The following is a 25,502-nucleotide window of genomic DNA, read 5'->3' as shown; positions in this document are numbered from 1 at the left end:
ACAATATATGTACAGGAGAGGGAGGTTCTAATTTTGCCTGCAAAAGTTTACAAAGGAGTGATATTTGTACTTGGTCTCAGTAAATTAGATATTGCCAAGTGAAAGAAAGGAGAGATGCTATTCTGTTTAAGAGGAATGGCATAAACAAAGGCATAGAGGGCTGTAACTTCATATACCTCAAGAAACATCAGCTAATCTAGAATAGTGGTAAAGAAAAATAGAGACAGATGAGAAATATTTACTATTTAGAATTAAGAAATCTTAATGACCACCTAGTTGGTCAGTGGTGAGAAAAAAATCAGAGGAAGTATATGAGTAATGATTCCAGGGATGGAAAGCTGACATTTCAATGGATGAACAATATATGACAAAAGCACAAGACAGAGGTGCACAGGTTAGCTTGGAGCTGTGTGAGCAAACTTAGTTTAGCTATAATATACAGAAGTCAGGACAAGGAGGCAGTGAGAGAGCAGGAATAGCTAGAAATAAGGAACTTACATTGATATAGGCATTGGGAAGCTTTGCAGGGTTTTTAAGTATTAGAATGACCTGTTGAAAGCAGTGATTTAGGAAAATGTGGCAGAGGTGTCAGCATTGACTAGACTATTGGAAAGGACATACCCTATAGCTGAATAACAAATAACTTGCTTGCAGTGTTAAATGGGAAATGTCATAAGTTTCCTAATACTCATTTCCTGTTGAGTATTTGCTCATGTCTAGTATACTGTATTACCTCTTCTTGAAATGTGTTTCTTTTCTCACAAGAACTTAACACACAGGTTAAGATGTGGAATGATGCAGAAATTTCTTTAAAACGTTAAGAGTTTTTAAATTGAATCTATCTCCATTACTTACAAAGTGTTTTTTTAAAAAAAATATATACCATACATTGTAAAACAATATGGTAAGTTATAACATATTTTTAAAAGCCGTAAGAGTATGGTCTTTGGAGTGATCCCATTGTAGAATTTGCATTTCATCTCTACTATCATTACTTTTTTTTTTTTTTTTTTTTTTTTTTGAGACAGAGTCTTGCTCTGTCACCCAGGCTGGAGTGCAGTGGCGTGATCTTGGCCCACTGCAACCTCCGCCCCTCCGATTCAAGTGATTCTCCTGCCTCAGCCTCCCGAGTAGCTGGGATTACAGGTGCCCGCCACCACGCCCAGCTAATTTTTGTATTTTTAGTAGAGACGGGGTTTCACCATGTTGGCCAGGCTGGTCTCGAACTCCTGACCTCGTGATCCGCCCGCCACGGCCTCCCAAAGTGCTGGGATTACAGGCGTGGGCCACCGCACCCAGCCTATCAGACTATTTTTATTCTCAAAAATAAACCAGGTTATGGCTGGGCACGGTGGCTCACACCTGTAATCCCAGCACTTTGGGAGGCTAAGGTGGGCGGATCACGAGGTCAGGAGATCGAGACTATCCTGACTAACACAGTAAAAGCCCATCTCTACTAAAAATACAAAAAAATTAGCTGGGCGTGGTGGCGGGCGCCTGTAGTTCCAGCTACTCAGGAGGCTGAGGCAGGAGAATAGCGTGAACCCAGGAGGCGGAGCTTGCAGTGAGCTGAGATCGCACTACTGCACTCCAGCCTGGGTGACAGAGCGAGACTCGGTCTCAAAAAATAAATAAATAAATGAAATAAAATAAACCAAGTTATTTCCCACCTTGGCTTTAGTTCATTTGGTTCTATCAGCCTGGAATGTTATTCTTTCCAGCACCAATATCCAACCCCAGCTGTAGAAACCTTTCTCGTCTTTTACTGGCCAATGCATATGCTACCTCCTCTGTAAAGCCTTCAAAGTTGGAATTATTTTTTTCACTCTCTTAAAGCATTATTTCCCTCTGTTATGCACGTATTTTATTCTGCTTTCCCCACAGGACTGTAAATTTTGAGTGCAGAAGCTGTGTCTTACTGGTCTTTATATCTATCACAGCACCGAGTGTATTACTTCACACAAAGTAGTACCTCAATAAATATTTGATTTGTGTATACAAATATATAAGAAAATGATCCTTATCTTCCTTTTATTCAACTTGTATTAGATTTAAAGATAATGAAGTATCTCATGGAAATAGATTATTCTAGAATGGTTAATGGTTGGCAGAGCCCATCTGGATAACTCTTATTAAAAACGAATATACTCAAAGATATTTTATTATTTGTATTTTGCCATATATTACGTTATGCCCAAATTTTGTTGAAAGATAACACTTCACCATTTTTAAACTTTAAGATGACTTTATCATTTTAGGTTGAGAATTTCTTCTGTATGGGATCCCCATTAGCAGTTTTCTTGGCGTTGCGTGGCATCCGCCCAGGAAATACTGGAAGTCAAGACCATATTTTGCCTAGAGAGATTTGTAACCGGTTACTAAATATTTTTCATCCTACAGATCCAGTGGTGAGTTGCAATATAGACTCTTTTTTTTCTCAATGTCAAATTGTTCCTAAAAAGAATCTATCAGCTGGGCACAGTGGCTCACGCTTGTAATCCCAGCACTTTGGGAGGCTGAGGCGGGCGCATCATCTGAGGTCAGGAGTTCAAGACCAGCCTGACCAATGTGGTGAAACCTCATCTCTACTAAAAATACAAAAATTAGCTGGGCGTGGTAGTGGGTGCCTGTAAGGCAGGAGAATCACTTGAACCTGGGAGGTGGAGGTTGGACTGAGCCAAGATCATGCCACTGCACTCCAGCTTGGGTGACAGAGTAGTGAGACTCCATCTCAAACAAAAAGAAAAAAGCCGGGCGTGGTGCTCATGCCTGTAATCCCAGCACTTTGGGAGGCCAAGGCAGGCAGACTGCCTGAGCTCAAGTTCGAGACTAGCCTGGGCAACATGGTGAAACTCCATCTCTACTAAAATACAAAAAATTAGCTGGGCACGGCTGTAATCCCAGCTACTCGGGAGGCTGAGGCAATAGAATTGCTTGAACCTGGGAGGCAGAGGTTGCGGTTAGCCGAGATTGTGCCACTGCACTCCAGCCTGGGCAATAGAGCGAGACTCTGTCTCCAAAAAGTAAAAATCTGTCTAAGACATCTTACAAGGTGCCATCGAATTAATGAAAACACTTCATTTATCTGATTATTAAACGTGTGTTTTGGTTAATTTAGGGCTCATGAGATAAAGTACCTTAGAGATGGTCTGGTTATGTTGCACCTGTAATACAAGAGTGTAATGTAAAAATATTATTCCCAGACAGTTAGTACAAGAGACAGGAGTCTACTGGACTTTCAAACCTTAACCAATTGTAATACCAGTAACCTAGAAACCATAAATCTTAAAAATCCTGCTCTAAATACTTTTTTAATCTAAAGTATGCTACAATATTGGAATGTATTTTGTAGACTCTCTGAAAAATGAAAATATTCAAATACTGAACATCAAAATAAAACTTTATTATAGCCTAATAGAATTGTAAGATGTTGGATTTTTCTATTCTCTATTATGTTTATGCTGTAAATATTTTTTTTAATGGAAGCACTCCAAGAACCTTGCATCCTGTTAAACAGTGTAATGCCAAGTAAGATTTTCAGACAAGAAAAATGCCCCCTTAATACTTCTTTGGGACAAGGCTGGTTTAACTAAATATTAAACTATTTTAAATAGCATTTATTCTCTGAAAAAATAGCTTCATATAATTGTGGAAAGTCTTTTAAAGGATCCTTTTAGCTAGTACCAAATAAATATAACATTGACTAACCATTCGAATTTTAGAAAATCTCTCATATGTTAAAGACTTACAACTGCCATATTAACTTCACTGAACTGGAAGTTTAATATAAGATTCAAATACAAACTGCACAATCCTGGGCAAGTTATTTCTGAGATTGTATCTTATCTGTATGATGTAGATGATAATATTTTGCCTTCTAGGATTGTTAGGATTAAGTAAAATATATATACACCCAGCTAGACAATAAGCATTTCATTAACATATACTCATTTTATTCATTGTCTCGTAACTTGAAAGTGAATTTCAGTTCATAGGTCTGCTCTGAGCCCTGTCCTTTGTATAACTTAAACTTTGTTGTAACTTTAAAGGAGGATTCCAAACTCTTAAATTTTTATTATTCATTTTATAGTTTTTCTGTGATTTTTAAAAAAATTAATACTTTGTTAAATAGTTTACGTCAGAACGGTGCAAGGCAGTTTTTACAAATGTTATCTGTTCTTTCTCACATCTCTGTAAGAGAGGAAGTGTTACCTCCTTTCTACAGCTCAGGAAACTCAGGGCTCCGAGACCTAGTGACTTAACAAGCATCATGCAATTAATAAGTGACAGAGGCTGGGCGCAGTGGCTCTCTATTATCCCAACCCTTTGGGAGGCTGAGGTGGGAGGATTGCCTGAGCCCAGGAGTTTGAGACCAGCCTGGGCACCAAGGCGAGACCCCATCTCCATCTTAAAAAATAAAATTTTCTAAAAATGTAAATTAAAAAATAAGTGATAGAAACCAGAATATGAATTTGGGGGATTCTGATGCCGTATCCATTGCCTTTTCTGCTGTCTCATTGCTACTTCACATCAGACAGATGCTCTTATGCTGGCATCTGATTTATGCTGTTACTGTATCAATCTATTTTAAAACAGAGCTTAAATAGAGCTCCTAAAATATTAAAAATTGGCCTTATTTGCTGTTTCCCAGGATTACCATCTACTACTTCAACTTTGCTCCTAAGACTAAAATAAATCTAATTGTTACATATCAGAACATAATAAAAATATTTCTCTGAAAAACTAATTGATAGACACTATTAGCCTAGACTGTTTTTCATAATCTCATCATTAGATCAAGTGCATATTAACAGTGAACAAATAGAAATACATGTTTGAAATAGCTATTGTTTTTTAATTAAATTCCTTCTCGGAGGTTTACTTAACATGCAGTAGAGTAAGAACAGTTTACTAAAATCCAAGCATTGTGATTTAACACTGTGTTTCTTTGAATTTTTTTTTTTAAATCAAGGCTTATAGATTAGAACCATTAATACTGAAACACTACAGCAACATTTCACCTGTCCAGATCCACTGGTACAATACTTCAAATCCTTTACCTTATGAACATATGAAGCCAAGCTTTCTCAACCCAGCTAAAGAACCTACCTCAGTTTCAGAGAATGAAGGCATTTCAACCATACCAAGCCCTGTGACCTCACCAGTTTTGTCCCGCCGACACTATGGAGAATCTATAACAAATATAGGCAAAGCAAGCATATTAGGTAATTTCTCTTATGTATTCCTTATCTATGCATATAAGCACTTTCCTAGACATAAGTTTGGGGGACTAGAAGTATTCTATGTATTAGGAAACTCCCAGCAGTTAATCCCTGTGTCTAGAATTAACTACCCTCCCAATGTTCATATTTGAGGCCCAAAAAGCTCTAAAGTTCTCTGATTAGATCAGATCTTATAGTTTTAGAATATAAGATAGCTGGATGGACCAGAAAAAGCTGTTATGAGAATCAAGTCCCTCATTTTAATCTTGGTCCTACCACTTGCTGTGAGATCTTGAGTAAATAATATAGTTTTTAATGCTCTACTTGCTCATCTGTGAAATGAGAAAGCACTTGTGTCAGAGGGTGCTCCCTGTCAACCAGTTCTCTGATCTATTCTAAAAGTCTCTCAAACTGTGTGATTCCTGAGGGCAACAAGGATGTTTAATTTTTCTTTGAATGATCTCCAGTACTGGCACAATGTTTGCTGTATCACTGGAACTCGATTATGTGGTATTTGAATCTGTCCATTGCCTTTGGTTACAAGTTGCCTTAATGTAAAATACCACAAGGTGGCACTATAAATAGGCTTTATCTCCTGGACTCATTGGCTGTTTTACTTTCTCATGTTAATACATTGTTTATTGATGGCTTTTTCTTACATGTCCATTTAAATTCAGTAGTAAGTATATCAATAGTAAATCTATACTCATGTCAATGGCATGGTTCTTTTATCAAAGACTTTAATCTTGCCAAATATTTTAATAAACCATGATCACTTGAATAAAATAGAATCTTTATTCCTTTGTTTATATATTCCTGTGTTATATTCCTAGAGCTTATACAACTCTCATTCTATTCACCATTTTTATTTAGAAACCTGCAATATAAATTATAATTTTCTTATGTTCCCACCCTGGAAAAACATGACTAGGGTTTGGTCCCTCTGCCAGTTGGCTATAATTATGGGTGGTGCTCTTTAGCTTAGAGTGTGGTGTGATTCAACAGAATGACTACCCTGCTTTGTGAAATACAGGGGCTGCTAGCATTGGAAAGGGACTTGGAGGAATGTTGTTCTCAAGATTTGGACGTTCATCTACAACACAGTCATCTGAAACATCAAAAGACTCAATGGAAGATGAGAAGAAGCCAGTTGCCTCACCTTCTGCTACCACCGTAGGGACACAGACCCTTCCACATAGCAGTTCTGGCTTCCTCGATTCTGCATGTTAGTTCATACATTATTTCCTTAAGTTGATACTGTATCTTTTTAAAACTTGGGGAGGGCAGGGAGGTATAAAATATTAATACTAGCTAGTCAACTCTAAGATCTAAAGTGTGCCTTAACTTTGAAAGAAAAAAATGCTTTCCTTCTGCTTATATTTTTAAGAATAATTTCCAGGAAAATGCAGTTTTACTTTCTGCATTGATGAATTAATAGAATATTAGTAATTAGGGCCTTGTGGCACAAGGTCTTAACCATCAAGCATAAAACAAATCTCTTTAGGGTAAGTACCCCCTGAAGTTTATAAAGTAGATTTTTACTAATGTGATCTTCTCAGTCTCAAAAATCGTGTAATTATTGCTTTAGATCTATGCTGTATCTGGTCTTGAGACTTTAAAAACTGCTATACCAAAGTCATCCTACTTCTATTCAAAGCTTAGAAATTTTATTGGATCTGCTGAATGGCTTCCAATTCTATCCCAGCTACCTAGTGTAAAGCAGATATTGAAAAAATGAGTAAATAAATGGATAGTTATGTTGGACTTAGCATTATATGGATCTTTAAGCTTTCTCCGGTGGACTTAGAAAGTTTGAAATGTTGAGTAGTTGTGAAACACGAATACACTTAGTATATATTTACTTCCAAGAGTCTGAACTTGAACATTATTTTTAGGTGTCTAGTAAAATAAAACTAAAACGTCAAGTCCTATTTTTTCATTGACACCTATAATGAAATATAAATTCTGAAACTAGCTACTCCTTTTCTGTAACTATAGCAGGGAGAAAACTTTTCTTTCTCTAGAAATTTTTAAACAGATTTTATTTGTTACTTAGAGTATTGTGTTCTTACTGTGTCTGCTACTCTAAATTGTAAAATGATGGCATTCATTGCCATCCATCCTTAGAAAGTTCAGGTGTGACACTCCTAGAGGCTGAATAATTCTTCCACAGTCAACTCCACTCCAGGATGAATTATTAATAGGGTTGAACATTCCTACTTGGGCCAACAGCATTTTTAATTTAATTATATCTGTGCCAGACTCTGGACACTGAAAATTTTATAATTGCAAGTCTGGAAAATTCTTTTTTAGACTTTGATATTTGCATTAAATATATTTTACCTTCTATAAGAGTTCTCATACTATTTCTGACTTGTTTCCTTTTCTACTTAATATCAAAAATGTGATTGTGAAAATACAAAATTCTGTCGTGACATGCAGATGTCAAGAAAACTCTAACTGCTGAAGAAAATTAATTTCAAAGAATTTTGTAAGGTAGCAGGTAAAAAGTCATGGTTCTCTGTAATGTCATTAATGTGCAACAGTAGTGCTAGTAAACATCAGAGTGAGGGAGGGAGCAAGAAGAGCAGGGTAGGGTTTAACCCCCTAGAAAAAGGGTAATGAAAACGTATGTATAGAATCTACAGGCTCTGAGGGAATAAAACTTTTTTAGGTTTTTTTTTTCTGTTTAACATAGTAATTTCAAAATAATAGAGAAACCCCCAGTTTTTTCTTCCAGAACAGCAGTTAGTAGAGGTGCATAGCTGTATTGCATCTTTTTATTTTGAGAGCTTAACAAAATACATACTATGTCATTCTTACACATAAATTCTTTGATAGTCCGAATGGTAAAATAGTCAACAAGACTCAATATGAGGTAATTATGAGTCTTACACATATTCACATATTACACATACTTATATATTATACATATTACACATATTCACCTCTAGATATAGATATAACTATTAAAATTGGACTATTATAATAAGATTCTGCCTTTTAAATCCTATTCCCAAGATTTGCTTTACTAATTATTTGGCTTGCTTCAATAATGTAATCTGTGTAATCGTCATAATTTCTCGTCGTTAAGTGCTGTCTTGGCTATATCGTGCAAATCATAAAACTTTTCTTCATTAAATCTTCTTTCTGAAATTTGGTCATTGTGATTAGGTGATTCTGGCTTCCCTCCTTTCTTCCTTCTACTTACATTAATTGCCTCAGTTCTTCTGGATAACCTTTATTCTGAAGCTACCGACTTTGATTCACTTGCTATTTGAGGGTAAAATGGGGCACAGGCTTAGAATTCATGATCTGTCTGTTTCTTTATGTGAAGAACTAGTGTTGTCAATTGAAACCTATTTTATTTTCATCCAGTTGAAGCATCTTACCTAGCTATTCTTCTTTTGAAAAGTCTAGACTTCTTTTCTAACATATAATGCAAAGATCTGTTTCTTTTAGCATTGTTTTGCATCTAGGTTAGGAACTAAATTAGCTATGAATTTGGGGACTATCTGGGTGTTAACAGATTATGAGATTATATTTCAAGTTAGTTATGCTTACATTTTCCATGAAAGAGCTCCTTACAAAAATTAAGATGTGTACTACTTTATGTATGCTAGATTTAGTCAGTTTATTTGGGAGTATTGTTCTAACTTTTGGCCACTACATCATTGAAGGCCATTTTTAATCATCAGCCAACCCTTTACAGCATCTTGTGTTTTTTTTTCACAGATTTCAGACTTCAAGAATCGTTCTTTAATCTCCCACAACTTCTTTTTCCGGAAAATGTAATGCAGAATAAAGATAATGCCCTCGGTATGGTATATGTCAGGAATAGCATTCAGAATACTATAAAAATGATCTACTTAGAGTTCTTCTGCTTATTGAAAAATTGGATCAGTTCTTCTATGAGATCCCAGCTTCAGTGTTACCATTACAGACTATTTTATGTGTATTTTCATCCCATATTTTCTAGTCTTAAATGGTAGTGGTTCTGAAACCTGAAAATTGACTAGCCACTTAATGTGCTAAAGTATATTTGTGTATACTTCTACAAAGAAGGAACCTGAAGAAAAGCATAAGGTCATTTTCTTCCTTCTTTATTGTCCTAAAGGCTCCAAAGAGGTTTGCTATTTCTTTTCATTTAATACATTTAGATATAAAAGGGTTTCTAATAGTACAAAGAATGTCATCATTCTTGGTTATTTCAGGTATCAGTAAATTTACCACTTAGGGTTGTAGGTATGTCATAGCTGATTGCTTTCAACACAGATATTTAATGTAGTTTAGGGGAGTACATTCACTTTTAAAAACAGTATTCTTGGATGTAAGAGATATTTTTAATCTCTTAATTTTCAGTATATTCTAAATGTATCACTATGGATTAACTTTAGCAGTTTAAAATTATTTTTATGACTAACTTCTGATTCTTTTTCCACAGCTTCTCTTTTAAAAAAAAAAATGCTGGATTTTGTCTTTGACAAAACACGTTACAGGGCTTTGTGGGATTTTTTTTCTTTTAATGTTTTAACCAAATCTCATTTTACAGTTTCTTTATTTGATCACCAATTTTCATAAATTTTTTCAAGTAAAAAAAAAAAAAAACTCTTACATTACTTCAGTTTGCGTTGATCTAACTCAGTGAATTCCCCTTAAGAAATTATCTTACATAAGTGCTGTCTCTGGTCTCTGCCCAAGCCAGCCTGTTTCATAAATAAATAATTTTATTTATGTTTTTTGCATTTTTGGTTGGAGAAAGGAAAATTAATTCATTCATATTTGTCCTGCAACCAAGTAGCCCATATATCCAGTATCTCAAAACCATCCTACCTAGCTACCTAAGTAGTTAAACCTGTAGTCATAACTACACAAAATGATTCAGATGGTAATATCTATATGGCTTCTTTTTGCGCTTCCTGTTTTCATTCACTCAACAATTATTTACTTCACTGTTTACCTTGAGCCAAGAGACCATGGCAGTCACTAGAAAAGATAAGATGAAACAAATTTCAATACTGCCTATAAAGATGCTAGTGTGAAAATTGTGTATTTTCTAAAGAGCATAAACTCTAGTAGGGAAGGTAGATAACTGCATAAGTAATTATAATATATGGTAGAATGTGACGAACCGCAAAACATAGGTACAATAAAGGACTCTCTCAGTTCTAGGGAATGAAAGATTGCTTTCACCTGGAGAAAGGTCTCAATCATTCATACAAAGAAATGAATGGCTAGATTTGTTTGACCCTATGAAAATCATTCATACAAAGAAATGAATAGCTAGATTTGTTGGACCCTTCACAATTTGGTTTGACAAAATTTTCTAGGCAAATTCAGAACTACTCCCTTTTAATCGTTCCTGATTTTTCTCAAGAAAACTAACTTGTATTTCTCTTCATACCCCATGCTTCCCACCTCTGCAGTTTTGCTCATGCTGTTTCTTCTCCCTGCAATGTCTTTTCATCTCTACATGTCCAAATCCTCCTCCTTCCAGAGAGCCTCTTATGATTTCTCCAGGTGAAAGCCATCTTTCATTCCTTAGAACTGAGAGAGTCCTTTACTGTACCTCTGTTTTGTGGTTCATCACATTCTACCATATATTATAATTACTTATTATATGTCTGTTGACAAGCCTTGTGCACAAAAGAATTCTCTGATGAAAGCACGCTACTGATGACACTTGACCTTCACACTATGGAGATTCCTTGATTGTCAAGCACTTCCACATGGAATGTAGCAGATACTCTACTTTGGGGAAGAGGGAAAGAAATATGCCTATGTATGTGACACCCCAGAAAGAAAATAATCCGTGTTTTAAAACAGTGTAAGCAAAGAGTTGATGATTGTTTAAAAACACAGTTTCTTTTCTCATTTTTACTTCTCTTCAACTGTTCAGAAACCTGATTCTTCTTTTTTATGGATAGAGAAATTCTGTCACTTGGGCATTCCAGAGAGAAAAAGAAGTGATAATTTATGTTCTTTTTTTTTTTTTTTTTTTTTTTGACCTAGCTCAGTTAGAGAAACCAGGGAAAAACTACCAACCTGAATGACAACACCCATTCTTGAGATGGTAATAATGAGAAAGTAGGTCCTAGGCTAATCCATGTAGATTTGAGCCTACTTTGGCCAAGAGCTGATCTCACAGCACATACAGAATGATGCTACTATGTAGACCCTCACTCCCTTGGGAAATCTGTCATCTACCTAAAAGAGAGAAAAAAGATGGAACATAGGCCCACCTAGTTTCATCCATCCACCTACATAACCAACATAGATGTGAGGTCCACTGCACTGATAGCCAGACTGCCTGGGGTAAACCTTTTCAGGGAGGACGAGAAACTGAAACAGGTTCATCAAGTACAAGCTAGCTTCCTAATACCCACTTTGATGGAGACAATCTGTAGATAAATATGGAAGGATAGATGGAGTCAATCTGGTTAGTGACACTGAGTAAAGTCCCTTTAAGTGATAAAATGATAAGGGCACATAATATAGGACAAGAATGAAATTTAACATTTGAGTGCCTACTCAATGAAAGGCAGTGTTGTAAGACAGTAATAGCATATTAAGAATAATTTCAGGAACATAAAATCAAAGTGGAGCCAAATAACACATGTTATAAACAGGAAATATCTTCCTTTCTTTGACTTAAAAAACAGAATTGTAACTAAAGAGTGTTGGACTAGGAAAACATTATGAAGTGGCATTTGAAAGTGAAGTCTTAAAAATTATAACTTTGTGGTCTTCACCAATATTAACACATTTTCCAACTGTTTTTCATCTTCTTTTTCCTTTGTAATTCATCTTGACTCATCTTCATTGTGCTTGAGCATTCCAGTTTCTTGTTCTATTTTTGTCTTCCCGTCTACTGTGTCAGAATGTACTACAAATCTAATACAAATGTCCCATGGAATACAAAAGATTAAGACATTTACTAACTCACCAGTCCACATGGATTTCAGCTATTTCTGACTTGTTATTGATTAGCTTATTGTAATTTAAATTTTAAAAATGCAGTCCAGGCCGGGTGCGGTGGTGCACACTTGTAATCCCAGCACTTTGGGAGGCTGAGGTGGGTGGATCACAAGGTCAGGAGTTTCAAGACCAGCCTGGCCAACATAGTGAAACACCATCTGTACTAAAAATACAAAAAAATTAGCCAGGTGTGGTGGTGGACACCTGTAATCCCAGCTACTCGGGAGGCTGAGGCCAGAGAATCGCTTGAACCTGGGAGGCGGAGGTTGCAGTGAGCAAAGATCGTGCCACTGCACTCCAGCCTGGGTGACAGTGTGAGACTCCATCTCAAAAAAAAAAAAAAAAACAGCCCAAAAAACTTAGTTAAAAGCCCATGTCAATGTATTTTACAAGTATTTTATAACCTAATTGGTATTTATACCACTTAAATGTAAACCTTCTCTGAAAATGTGTAGCTAGATTTATGAACATACCTTGTAAGAAGAGCATAGTTTAATAGAAAAATAACAACTGTATAAGCATTGTTAAATTACCAAATGGTATTGTCACAAAATACCTATTTAAAATAAGCATTAACTAAGCATTTATATGAAATATTTCCCTAGAGTATTATGATTTCCTATGTATGATTACCAAATTCCCAGTATAAAGCAAAACCCAACTTTTTCTCCAATCTCCTTCTTAATTTGTGCCAGTTTTACTCTTAAAATCCTTTTGGTGCATGTTCAGGGGCAGACTTTACAGTGTCTGGTTGGTAGTGATTTGAGCATTTTTGTTTTGTTTGTAACATAGACCCTTCAGAACACTGTACGGCTCATTAACAGTTTAAAGGAGTTCCTAAGGATCAAAATGTCATATTCTTAAGTGTTTATCTCTAATAATTTATTAAATGAGCTCACTGGAATTATTTTAGAGCCTTGATTTGTTAAGGTGATTTTTCTCTAACAGGTAATCGCAAGGACTTTCTGTGGGCTTTAGAAAATACTTGATTGAATTCACTGAATTGTTTGTGGACAGCACTGTTATAAGCAAAGTCCTTCCTCCCAAGAATCACCACTGCTCCTCCCTGTTTAACTTTCCCAGCCACCCTGCATGTTCTTCTTTTGTTGAACAAACACTTAATGAGCGTTTGTATGTCCCAGGCACATGTTAGACCCTGCTGACTGGATGGACACTAGGGTTTATGGGGGTTGCCTGTGAGACATTCAGCCTAGTAGAGAAGAAAACATTCTAGGATTGTACACAGATGGTTATCTTCTAACATATCCCTCACACAACTAGTGGATATATAGGGCCTCCCTAAGGAGGAGATTGAATGATCTCTTGCACTCCCACGGGCATCATTGCATGCAAGCCTGGCCCGTAAATCTTCAAGAGGGGTGTTTTCCTTATTTTATAGATTAGGCACAAGGATTAAATGGTAATGCCAAGTTTTGAAAGCAATTTTTTTAACTCTGAAAATATTCTGTGATATGCCAAGTGATTTTTTTTTGTCTTCCTTTATTATTTTATATTAACTTTAGCATACAAAGGAAAGAACTTTACAAATAGAATCCTGTACTACTGAGGCTCTTTTGAGTGTTTTTCTCTTAAGATGATAATGGAAAGTCACTTCTTAAAAAAGTGACAGAATCACTTCTATTTAGCTAAATTTTTACTCTCAACTCCAGTAAGTCTATATAGAACATATTTTATTATAATCTGTATTCATTTGTTTAACTTCTTTTCTTTTTAGTGGAGTTGGATCACAGGATTGATTTTGAACTCAGAGAAGGCCTTGTGGAGAGCCGCTATTGGTCAGCTGTCACGTCGCATACTGCCTATTGGTCATCCTTGGATGTTGCCCTTTTTCTTTTAACCTTCATGTATAAACATGAGCACGATGATGATGCAAAACCCAATTTAGATCCAATCTGAACTCTCTTGAAGGACATGAATGGCCTAAAACTGATTTTTTTTTTTTCCGTTAAAATGTGTGTGTCAAGATACGGAGATTTCAGGGTTAAAGTATATTTCAGTTTTCTTTAGGGCAACATATATTTGAATTTAAAAGCACTTTATTTAAAAAAAAAAGAAGTTTTCAGTTCTGAAGAAGTCATTTACAGTTTGCATCATTTTAATTATGAGTCTGACAAAACCTTCTCCAGAGAATCAAGCAAGACCTGGATGTGAAGAAGGTTTGGGTAAACTGCATGTAAAGGCTACAAATCACAATCTGATTCCTCCCAAATATAAAGGCATATGGAACATAATGTATTAACCAAAGTATGTTATAAATCAAAAATGGTCAAGGTTCAGCATATTCTATATGAAGATCACAAGGTGGTATCGTTTTAGATTTCTATGAAGGCTTTCATTTGTACATCCCTTTGAAAAAATATAACAGATTTAAAATGTTTTGAATTTAACTTGTTTAGAAAAACTAATGCTTAAAACAATATTTGAACTACTGTATTTATAATTTATTACCTCTAATTGCTTTATTTCAGTGTATGAGACATTACTGTTTTAATGTTTGCTTTGAACATAATTTAAGAACCAGATTTATTTTCTATAGTGATAAACCCTTTTTTCTCAGAACTCCATCTTTGTACTCTTCAGATGAATATATAGACACTGTGGCATACATTTTTTTTCATTAAAAACTTATGGCTTCATACAACACTAGTTCAATTTTTTAAATAAACTTTTTATTATGTTACATGTACTTCAGAGAAAGCTAAAGTTTCTCTAAACTTGACACGGAGTACTCCATAATGGGTACATTTCATTAGCTTTATTAGAAAACTAGTAAATGCTTTTGAATAGGTAGTATGACAGCTATTTTAAATGTATAAACATTTGTGTGCCAAACAACATATATGAAGGGATGTGATGCCACTAACTAGTGCACATTGTTTCTCAATGTGCCATTGAGACACAAGGCACAGTAAGTCAGGATTCTGAGGCATTGGAAGGGTTTTCTTCAGCTGTAATTGTTTCCACAGTGCTTTTCATCTGAGGGGCTCAAAGTTTAAGAGTGCATTCAATAACCCATGTACTAGCTTCTTGAGGTAAGTAAATAAATCTTGTTCTCATGTTACATGTTAATACACCAAGGCACCAAAACATTTAAAGTGCCATGAATTAGATTACATCAGAAATCAGAAAAGCTTGGATTGAGCTAGTCACCGTGGTTCACGCCTGTAATCCCAACACTTCGGGAGGCCAAGATGGGAGGATCTCTTGAGCCCAGGATTTCAAGACCAGCTTGGGCAACATAGTGAGACCCTCTTCTCTGCAAAAACTGACAAAAATTAGCCACTTGTAGTGGTGTACACCTGTAGTCCCAGCTACTCAAGAGGCTGAGGTGGGAGGATCACCCGAGCCCAGAAGTTCAAAGCTGCAGTGAGCTCTGATCACACCAATGCACTCCAGCCTGGGTGACAGAGCCAGACCCTGTCTCTAAAAAACAAAAAAGAAAAGCTTGGGTTGAAGCCAGGCCATATTCTTTTATATGCTGTTCAATGACTTGATTCACATGTGACCTTTTAGTAGTTTGCAAACAATAATAACAGAAGTTGCAATTCATAATTCAGAGAAATGACCATGAAGCCGGTGTTTCCCTGCTTGATTTCTATGTTCTTGGATTCTCACACAAAAGAGGAGTTACCTAGAGGGGATCAGTAGCCATCCCTGTTGCACACAACCCTCACTTCTGAGTGGTTTCCACTAGGTTCCACTTAAGGTGCTGTCTTTTCTTAACTTGCAAGGAATTGCTTAGCTTCCCAATAATCATTGTCAAACTGGGAGCAAAGTTGGTCAGCTGTATCTCTCACCTCCTCCTTTCTTCATAAGATAGTAGAATCTGTGGCTTACTTGTAGGTTTTACTTAGTGCTTCAGTACTGTTGGCTGTTTTGGCCTTTTGCTGAATTTGCACAACAACATAAAGCACTTCTTTTTAATGTTTAAAAAAAATTCCAAGGCTCCATGACCAAGTATGTGACTCACTAAGAAACCCTTGCTATAAAAGGCTTTTGATGAAATCTTAGCAAAGCTAAATTATCTCTAACTTAGAGATTCCTATGAACTCAGGTCATTTTCATAGCCTGTTTATTTTGTAGGTCTAATTTAGTTCTCAGGAAAATTAAACTCATGCTATATGACTGTATCGTTAAAGGTACTTGAGCGTATGTTGCTGTAGGTGGTATGACACTCAAATGCATAAGAACTTGAAGGGATTTATTCTTAACCACTAGAATATGAAGAGCCCTTTTTACCTGAGAAGAGTGAAATTATGTCAGACCTTTTAATTTGATATCACTGAGTAAAAGGTATGTTCCTATAGCCATAGGAATATGTCTGCTTCCTTTTTTTCATGTTGAGAAAACAGTCAAATTTAACCATTTGGAGTTTATTTGAATTCTTGGAAAGAGCAATATTCAAAACCTTTTCAAAAATAAGATATTCTGGACTACTGGATGGATGTTTTGTTTTCAGTTCATTTTTCATCAGTAGAGATGGTGATTTCGGTTTTGTAGTATCCTTGTTTCTATGTCTGTGCATGTTAACATTGGATGTATTTGTATATACTTAATTAATATACAGACTGTGTGTCATTCTGGCTTGATTAGAAGCTAAGTCAGTTACTGAGTAACATTTTGCAACTTTATTCCAGCAAGTACTAAATCGGCCAAAAAAAGTTTTGTTTTTGATACCATTAAAATTTTATTCTCTATTTTGTGTACATGCTATGATGATTCTCCCAAGTACTGATTAGATCACTGAACTTTAGTTAGCTTCCCAAGAATTATTAACCGTTAGAATAAGACTTAGATTAAATCTTGCTTTATTTTTACTTTAAAATTAGTCTTGCTAAGGCCTTATGTTAGTTCATACTTTCTTTTCAACAGTAATCTTGTTTATAATCCAGTGTTTCTGTGTTTTAGGACATAATTTAAAAATATACTGGATTTTGGCCAGGTGTGGCAGCTCATGCCTGTAATCCCAGCACTTTGGGAGGCCAAGCAGGGAAGATTACTTGAGCCCAAGAGTTGAAAACCAACCTGGACAACATGGTGAAACCCAGACTCTACAAAAAATGCAAAGATTAGCTGGGTGTGTTGGCAGACGCCTGTGGTCCCAGCTACTCAGGAGGCTGAGGTCGGTAGGACTGCATGATTCCGGGAGGTCAAGGCTTCAGTGAGCCAAGATTGCACCACTGCACTCCACCTTGGGTGACAGAGCTGGACACTGTATCCAAAAAAAAAAAGTATGTATTTACACACACACACACACACACACACACACACTGGATGTTCTAATAACTGCTCTTTTGTATGTGAAGCAAGCCTTAGGAATCTTACGTTTTACTTCTTTCTGTTAAACGGCATCTGTTATCTTTTGAAGTACTCACACTGAACATGCTTCATGCTGAATACTCACGCTAAAGGCCTCAGACATGTAAACATTCATCCTTAGTCTCTTTTTTCTCTGTTTTCTCATTGGGAGCTGAAGCATCCTAGTCTGCAGAAAATTTAACACACCATATTCCAGCTTTGCATCACCTAGACAGTAGACAAAAGGAAAAGAAATTGTCAGTACCGTATCACAGCTAGTGCCTCTGTTCATTCCAGTGATAGTACATGAGCCCCTTCCAGTGGAGTCAGATCAAGCCAAAAGATTTTCCTGTAAAGTCTGTAGTAGAAGACAAATTTCTTTTTGATCCATTAGATTGGTATTTCTATCTTCTCAGCTAATTAATGAGTAAGGCATGTGGACAATCGAGAAAACTAATTTGAGTGTATGTATTAAAATTGCTCTTCTAAAAACACGTAAAATATTAAAGATCAAGGCAGAGCAAAAAAGAACGTAGCAATCATATACTAGAAAAAGAAACTAAGTTTTGCTAAACTATGTTTGGGTTAGTTGACCTCTGTAGCTATTCTAAAGTTTTCTATCCCTTATCTGTATTCCGCTGTCATTCCTGTGCCTCAAGCCTCTGCCAGGAATCTGATGGTACTCTGGCTGAACTTAAAACATAAGAATCTCAAAGGTCTCATTTAGTAAATGTTAGTGCTAAGTTGGTGACAGCCTGGGTTATATGCTTTCTCTTTCAGTCTTCAGTAGATGCTTGTGATAGTTTTCAAAGAACTGTAAAATTTCCGGGTCTGTACAGATTTTTAGAGATCATTTAATCCAACCCTGTTACAGTATCATGTCAGCATTTAAATAGCAGTAAAGGTCATGAAAAGTGAAGTGAAAGGCAGCAAACTCCATGAAAAACTAAATACAGTGACAACTGAGGGAAGTGGTAAAGTAAAAAAATATTAATGATGGAATTTTAAAGCTGGAAGGGGCATAGAGACCATTCTTTTCTCAATAATATTCTGCAAATATTAACAGGTGTCATGTCAGAAACTAAGTTTAGGAATTGACAAATTCAAAAATCTCCCTTACAGCAGGGCTTTGAGAGCCTTTGCTACACTAAATGCTCTGTGAATCTATCTGGTGCTGCGTGGGGGCCTCCAAATTTATTTAACCATATTTTTTAATTTGGCATTTACCTAGAGAAATGCTATCACATTTAATTCCTTCGTTTTACAGTTTCACCTCCTCATGTGATTCCTTCATTTTGTAAGTGACCGATTCCACCCTATACAATCACATGGCCAATGAATGACAGTCAGAATTAGAACCTAGTCCCCTGATTCCCAACCATGTCTTATACCAGACTGTTTCCCCTAATCGATAGGAAACTACTCCTAAAGGGCAGAAACTGCCTCTCTTTGTTTTTGTCCCCCAACCTCCCCTCCACACATACACCTCTGTAATCTGATGCTTTAAGCTCAGATTAAAGCATCAGCAAGCTTTAATCTGACACATGGCCGTAGGCTTGAGTTAGCAGTTGGTCCCTTCTTTCTTCCAGACTCTCATAAGAGTACCCTATCAGGTCTGGACAGACTTCCGTTTATGCCTCAGATTCAAAATACCCAGGAAAAAGAAGAAGAAATACAAAACAACAAAAAGAAAATCAAGAAAAAAATAAGATATCCAGGAAATATTTTGTTAGTTTTCTATTCTGGTGACAAATGCAAACTTAAGGAAACAAGTTGCACAGTGTTAACTAATGTTTAACATTCCTTTCCATAGTGTTTATGTGGGCCTTTTATCAATTCATGACAAATAGGTCACCTCCAAAACTGTTCCAACATAGGTTAACTCAGAAATTTAAAATTTAAGTACTATCCTTTTTGGAGACTATGAGAAGAGTTTTTACTATTGTGTTTTGTTTTGTTTTTTGGTGTGTGTGTGTATGTATGTGCATTCCCCAAAAATAGTCCATTGGCAGATTGTTAGGGTGAACTTTTCCTCTGCCTTTGTGTTTGTATAAGGGCGGGTGCATGCTTAGTATTGTCTGCTACCTTATGGTTTTTCATTTATATGTAACATGGTACAACTTGCTTCCTCCCCACCCAACAGTTGTCAGGATATGTTGGGGAATATTCTTTAGGAAGATTACATCTGGTCTTCTGTTGGAGTAAGATGAAAAACAAGTATGTTAACACTTGACCTTTACTGCTTTCTCCTGGAAGACATTGAATATCTAGGAGCGTCACTCATACCTTCCCTTGACTGTACCCACACCCACTGCGGTCCCTGCTTGATCTCTCAAACTTTTTGTTTCCCTTTGAGCTTCATGACAAAAAATTATAACCATTTTCTGGTTCTAAGGCTGCCATAATCCCAACTTTGCCAGTAAGAAGATGGAGAATTTTTGCTCATAGGGACATTTCTCAGAAGCAGCTGGCACCATAACTCTCCTGAGACCCTTGTTTCCTTTCTTTCAGCTCCTATGACTTCTTATGTTCACTCTCTCTAACACTACTAAATGTTGTCAATGACTGCAATCACAACTCTTTGAAGGCAGGCTTTTTCTTTTCCTTTGTTACCTCTTATTTTCAATAGCCAAAGCAGGTTAGTTTTCTCAGAATCTTCAGTTTTACTGAAGCATGCATTATTTCTGTTTTCTCTCTGCAGTGATCAGTTTGGATGACAGAAACTTTAAACTTTTATTCTGGCATTGTCCAGTTCTGATTTTCTCAGCTGGAACTGGTGCATGCACATTTAATAATTTCAAAGAAGTGAGAGGTAAATGTTTTCTCCTGCATTATACTGTGTTTCTCTAGCTGAATTGATCCGTTTGTTATCTTGCTCACCCGAAACAAGTAGTTGTGCCCTACAGTGAGCAACCTCAGACTAGGCTGTTCTAAGCATTCTGGAGAAAATAATCCTCATCATACAGTTTGTGGTAACTCTTCCAAAAAGTTTATGAAAATTGAAAGATCTCCCTATGCATCAGCTGTGGCTGCCACATTCCGTTCTACTAGGAAGGCTAGTGGCCACAACTCCCTCTAGAACATCAGAGGATAAAGTACACTTATATATTAGAAAAGACAGGCATATTCTGATTATGGTTCATTCACAATTTCTCAGTCCAGGGTTCAGTCAGTGACCATAGCTCTGAGGTCTTCAGGCTAACTCCAAGAACCCGTGCCAGATAGAAACCTACTCCTACTACCTTTCCACTCACCTTCCCATTCCCCCACCTTTGCTACCAAAGTGACTTTAAAAGTCGAGTTTTAGGTGTTTGTTTTTTTAACAGTCTAGGAATTTCAGTGCAATTCCGTGAGGTGGTGCTGACCTTAGATGAGAAATACGTGGCCAGGCTATAAGGACTACATGTAGAATTGAGATGGGACAGTGTACGTATGGACTGTGAGGGGAAAGAAAAGGTAAATGTGTGAAAGGAAAGAGATTGGTGCATGGTCATGACAGTCTGACAGCTTAGACATTTCAGAGGCATTGTTTATGAGAAAGGGGATAGGGACACATAGGTCTGATGACAACCAAAGCCCTTTGATGATGCCATCTGTCACTCAAGGCTCCCCACAGCCTGCCCAACCTGACTCTCCTGCCTGCTTCTCCACTGCCTACCTTCAACAATCAAACTATATTTTTGTTACAGCAAACTACATTCCATTTGCCTTTAAATGCTTGCATTTTAGTTATTGTACTGGCTACCTGTTTTTGTCTGCCCAGCATCCTGTTTCCCCTCCTTTTGGATCCTCTCCTAGCCAATTCCATGTCTTGAATCCTTTCCTGCTCCTTGTTAAAATTATTTTCTGCTTTGTGTGAGTCCCTGTAAGCACCAGCAGCTCAATCAGCACTGTCTGTACCATGGTCAAGAGATGAGTACATGACTCAGGTCAGACCTTATTTCCCACCCCATAAGCCACAATGATTAGACAAGAAATAGGCACAGAACCCTAACTAGATAGGGCAGAAGCCTTCCATAGGATTTTATTTGCTGGCCCTGAAATGCAGGTAGCCTTCTATGGCTGTTAAACACAATCCAGTGGCACATGGGGTGATATGAGGATGGAGCCATCCATGGCAAAACTCCACCCTTTCCTGTGACATGGATTATGTGCATCTGCCATGAAAAGGAAGCATACACAAGAAATGAGCCAAGAGTTCCTGGAGAACTGAAGCAAGTATCACCTCCAGATCAGTTGTACTTTTATTTGCTTACACTATTCTGAGGTGGGTCTCTGTCTCTTGGATCCAAAAGAGTTCAAATTAATAATCATTTGACAAAAAATTACCTCCACATTCCTAATGAAGTTGTCTTTGAAGATAATGTCTTGTGATCCCCTGGTTGAAGTTAATTACTGCTTGTGAGCCCCCATTAACAACGTGTTCCTTTCCCCATTGCTTGCTTGTATCAGCTTTGCTGAAGATCTATTGGCTGTAGGTGTGCAGCTTTATTTCTGTGTTCTCTATTGTGTTCCATTGGTCTACGTGTCTGTTATTGTACCAGTGCCGTGCTGTTTTGGTTACTGTGGTCTTATAGTTTGAAGCCACATCTGTGTGATGCTGCTGGCTTTGTTCTTTCTGCTTTGGGTTGCTTTGGCTATTCAGGCTCTTTCTTTGGTTCCATCTGAATTTTAGAATAGTTGTTTTCTAATTCTGTGAAAATGTTCCAACCTCTGTGAAAAATGAGGTTGGTAGTTTGATAGGACAGCATTGATTCTGTAAATTGCTTTGGGCAGTATGGCCATTTTTAAACTATATTGATTCTTCCAATCCATGAACATGGAATGTTTTTCCATTTTTTGGTTTCATCCCTGATTTCTTTCTGCCATGTTTTGTAGTTCTCCTTGTAGAGATCTTTCACCTCCTTGGTTAGGTGTATTTTTAAGTATTTCAGTTTTTTTATGGCTATTGTAAATGGTATTGGGTTCTTGATTTGCTCTCAGCTTGAACGTTATTGGTGTATAGAAATGCTCCTAATTTTTGTGCATTGATTTTGTATCCTGAAACTTGACTAAAGTTGTTTATCAGTCTAGGAGCTTTTGGCAGAGTCTTCGGGGTTTTCTAGGTATAAAATCATATCAGCGAAGAGAGCTAGTTTGATTTCTTTTCCCAGTTGGATGCCTTTTATTTATTTCTCTTGCCTGATTGCTCTAAGTTGAATGGGAGCGATGAGACTGGGCATCCTCTTCTTATTCCAGTTCTCAGAAGGAATAGTTCCAGCTTTTGCTCATCCAGTATGATGTCTGTGGGTTGGTTGTAGATGGCTCTTATTATTTTGAGATATGTTCCTTTGATACCTAGTCTGTTGAGGGGTTTTATCATGAGGGATGTTGGATTTTATCCGTATTCAATAAATGGTGTTGGGATAACTGGCTAGCCCTATGCAGAAGAATGAAACTGGACCCCCCACCTTTCACCGTATATGAAAATTAACTCAAGATGGATTAAAGATTTAAATGTAAGACCTCAAACTGTAAAAATCCTAGAAGAAAACCTAGGAAATACCCTTATCAACATCAGCCTTGGCAAAGAACTTTTGGCTAAGTCCCCAAAGGCAATTGCAACAAAACAGAAATTGGCAAGTGGGGACCTAATTAAAGCACTCTGCACAGCAAAAGACACTATCAACAGAGTAAACAGACAACATACAGAATTGGAGAAAATATTTGCAAACTAGACATCCAACAAAGATCTGACATCCAGAATCAATAAGGAACTTAACAAGCAAAAAACAACCCCATTAAAAAATGGGTGAAGGACATGAACAGACACTTCTCAAAAGAAGACATACAAGCAATCAACAAACGTGAAAAAATGCTCATCACTAATCATCAGAGAAATGCAAATCAAAACCACAATAAGATACCATCTCACACCAGTTAGAATGGCTATTGTAAAGAAGTCTAATAACATGCCAGTAAGGTTTCAGAGAAAAGAGAACATTTATACACTGTTGTGGGAATGTAAATTAGTTCAGTCACTGTGGAAAGCAGTTTGGAGATTTCTCAAATAACTTAAAACAGATCTACCATTCAACCCAGCATATGGGTTTATTTCCCAAAAGGAAATAAATCCTTCTACCAAAAACACATATGGTCATCACAGTGCTATTCACAGTAGCAAAGACAGATCAACGTGGCTGCCCATCAACAGTGGACTGGATAAAGAAAATGTGGTACATATAAATCATGGAGTATTAGGCAGCCATAAAAAGAACAAAATCATGTCCTTTGCAGCCAGCCACATGGATACAGCTGGAAGCCATAATCTAAGCAAATTAAGAACAGAAAACCAAGTACTGCATGTTCTAACAAATGGGAGCTAAATATTGAGTACCTCAGGATGCAAAGGTGGGAACAACAGACACTGCAGACTGGAACACTGTGGGTGAGGAGGGCAGAAGGATAGGTTGAAAAACTACCTATTGGGTACTATGCTCACTACCTGGGTGATGGGATCTGTACCTCAAACCTCAGCATCACACAATATACCCTTGTAACAAACTTGCACATTTACCCACTGTTTCTAAATGAAAAGTTGAAATATTTTTTATTAAAAAACACAAAAGCAATATGTTTCTCAATAATTGCACTGGTTTCATTTTGCCTTGATTTGGGGTTTGATTACAGTCTCCCACTTGTGTGTGTAAGCTCTTTAAAGGTGGGGAGCAATCCTAATCATCACCAGACCCTCCACAGTACATCATAGGTGCTTAAATTTACTGAATTATATCTACACCAGTATATACACCAGGCTCTAAGTACTGGGAATAACCATGAGTTTTAAAAATACAAAAATCTTTGCCTTCATGGGCAATTCTGTGACCAAAATAATGAGAATTGCTGAATTGGGAGAAGCCTTGAGAAAGGGCAAACCCTACCTGGAACCAAACGGCTCAGACAAAAGGAAGATTCCTTTTTCCACAGCCAAAGAAAGCAAAATTAGTAGCTTGTGGGGCAGGGCAGAAGAGTAGAAATTATATGTCAGGGTGAACTTGAATGCAGAACTGGGGTGTGCTATTTTAAAAAACTGTTACATTAACCTGTGCTAAAATGCCTAACAAAATATTTATAATTGCAGGCATTCCCCAACTTGGTCCCATAGTAACTCAGTGGCAGTTTCCTACATAAACCAAGAAGTATTTCCTGCTTGCCCTGTGCTGTTCCCTAAACATAACGGTGCGTGTTTGCCCCTCTCTACCTTTGCATTTGCTGTCCCCTCACCCCAGAAACTTCCATGTATTGAACTTTCACTTATTTTGGAGTCAGCAATGAGTTGCAGCTGGAAAAAAGACACATTCCCAGTGCTTTCTCAATGCCTTCCAGCTGCAGACTATTTTGTCTCTAAGCTAGACAGTAATTTATGATTCACTCATTCTGCAACTGAAATAAAATGGAAGGGAAAACAAAGGAGAAAAAGATGAGGTTTGTGGAAAATGGTGGTTGATCAATTAATTTGCTTTTGTGAGGGATACTAAAACATTTTGTTGTTTTGTTTATAAGGAATGGAATGTATTCCAAGTTTTAAATAAATAGCTATTAACTTTAGGAATGCAACTATTTGGAAGGCTAAGGATCACCAGTTTCTACCAGTATATAAGCGCATTTTAAGGTGTGGCTGATGTACTAAAAATGATTTCTATGGGGAGAGAAAACCACAACACAGTGAAGAGGGAACTAATGTGGGAGAGAAACCCCTCCCACAGATAGTAATGGTGGAAAGTTACTTAAGCAACGGAGACTACTGGGGCATCTTATTTAGGGGCCGAGTCTGGCTCCTTATAGTAATGCCAAAATAGAGAACACTCATTGCTGATACATCAAAGGCTGAGCATTTTTCTCAACAAGATCAGTGGCTTTAAATATTTGCTAACACCACCTGTTACAAAGAATTCTCATTTTTCCCCGTCAACTGTAAAAATATTTAAGAATGTGGCTATGTAT

At 37.0% G+C, this 25,502-nt stretch overlaps 1 protein-coding gene across 10 annotated transcripts in view; it reads left to right on the top strand.

Moving 5' to 3' along the window:
* DDHD1 (DDHD domain containing 1) overlaps positions 1-24,130 on the top strand; it is a 116,569-nt gene extending 92,439 nt beyond the window's left edge. For 5 of the 10 annotated variants that reach the window (XM_005268105.3, NM_001160148.2, XM_005268102.3 and 2 more), the window contains 5 exons: positions 2,259-2,408; positions 4,973-5,225; positions 6,256-6,447; positions 8,958-9,041; positions 13,936-24,130. In XM_005268105.3, the coding sequence (XP_005268162.1) occupies positions 2,259-2,408; positions 4,973-5,225; positions 6,256-6,447; positions 8,958-9,041; positions 13,936-14,117 (861 nt within the window). In that variant the 3' untranslated portion in view covers positions 14,118-24,130. The remainder of the gene's footprint in view (positions 1-2,258; positions 2,409-4,972; positions 5,226-6,255; positions 6,448-8,957; positions 9,042-13,935) is intronic. The other 5 variants (XM_017021669.2, NM_030637.3, XM_017021668.2 and 2 more) reach the window with 1 other exon arrangement.

The sequence above is a fragment of the Homo sapiens genome, chromosome 14 (genome assembly GCF_000001405.40).
Source record: "Homo sapiens chromosome 14, GRCh38.p14 Primary Assembly".
NCBI lineage: Eukaryota > Metazoa > Chordata > Mammalia > Primates > Hominidae > Homo > Homo sapiens.
This window is presented reverse-complemented; position numbering and strand designations above follow the sequence as displayed.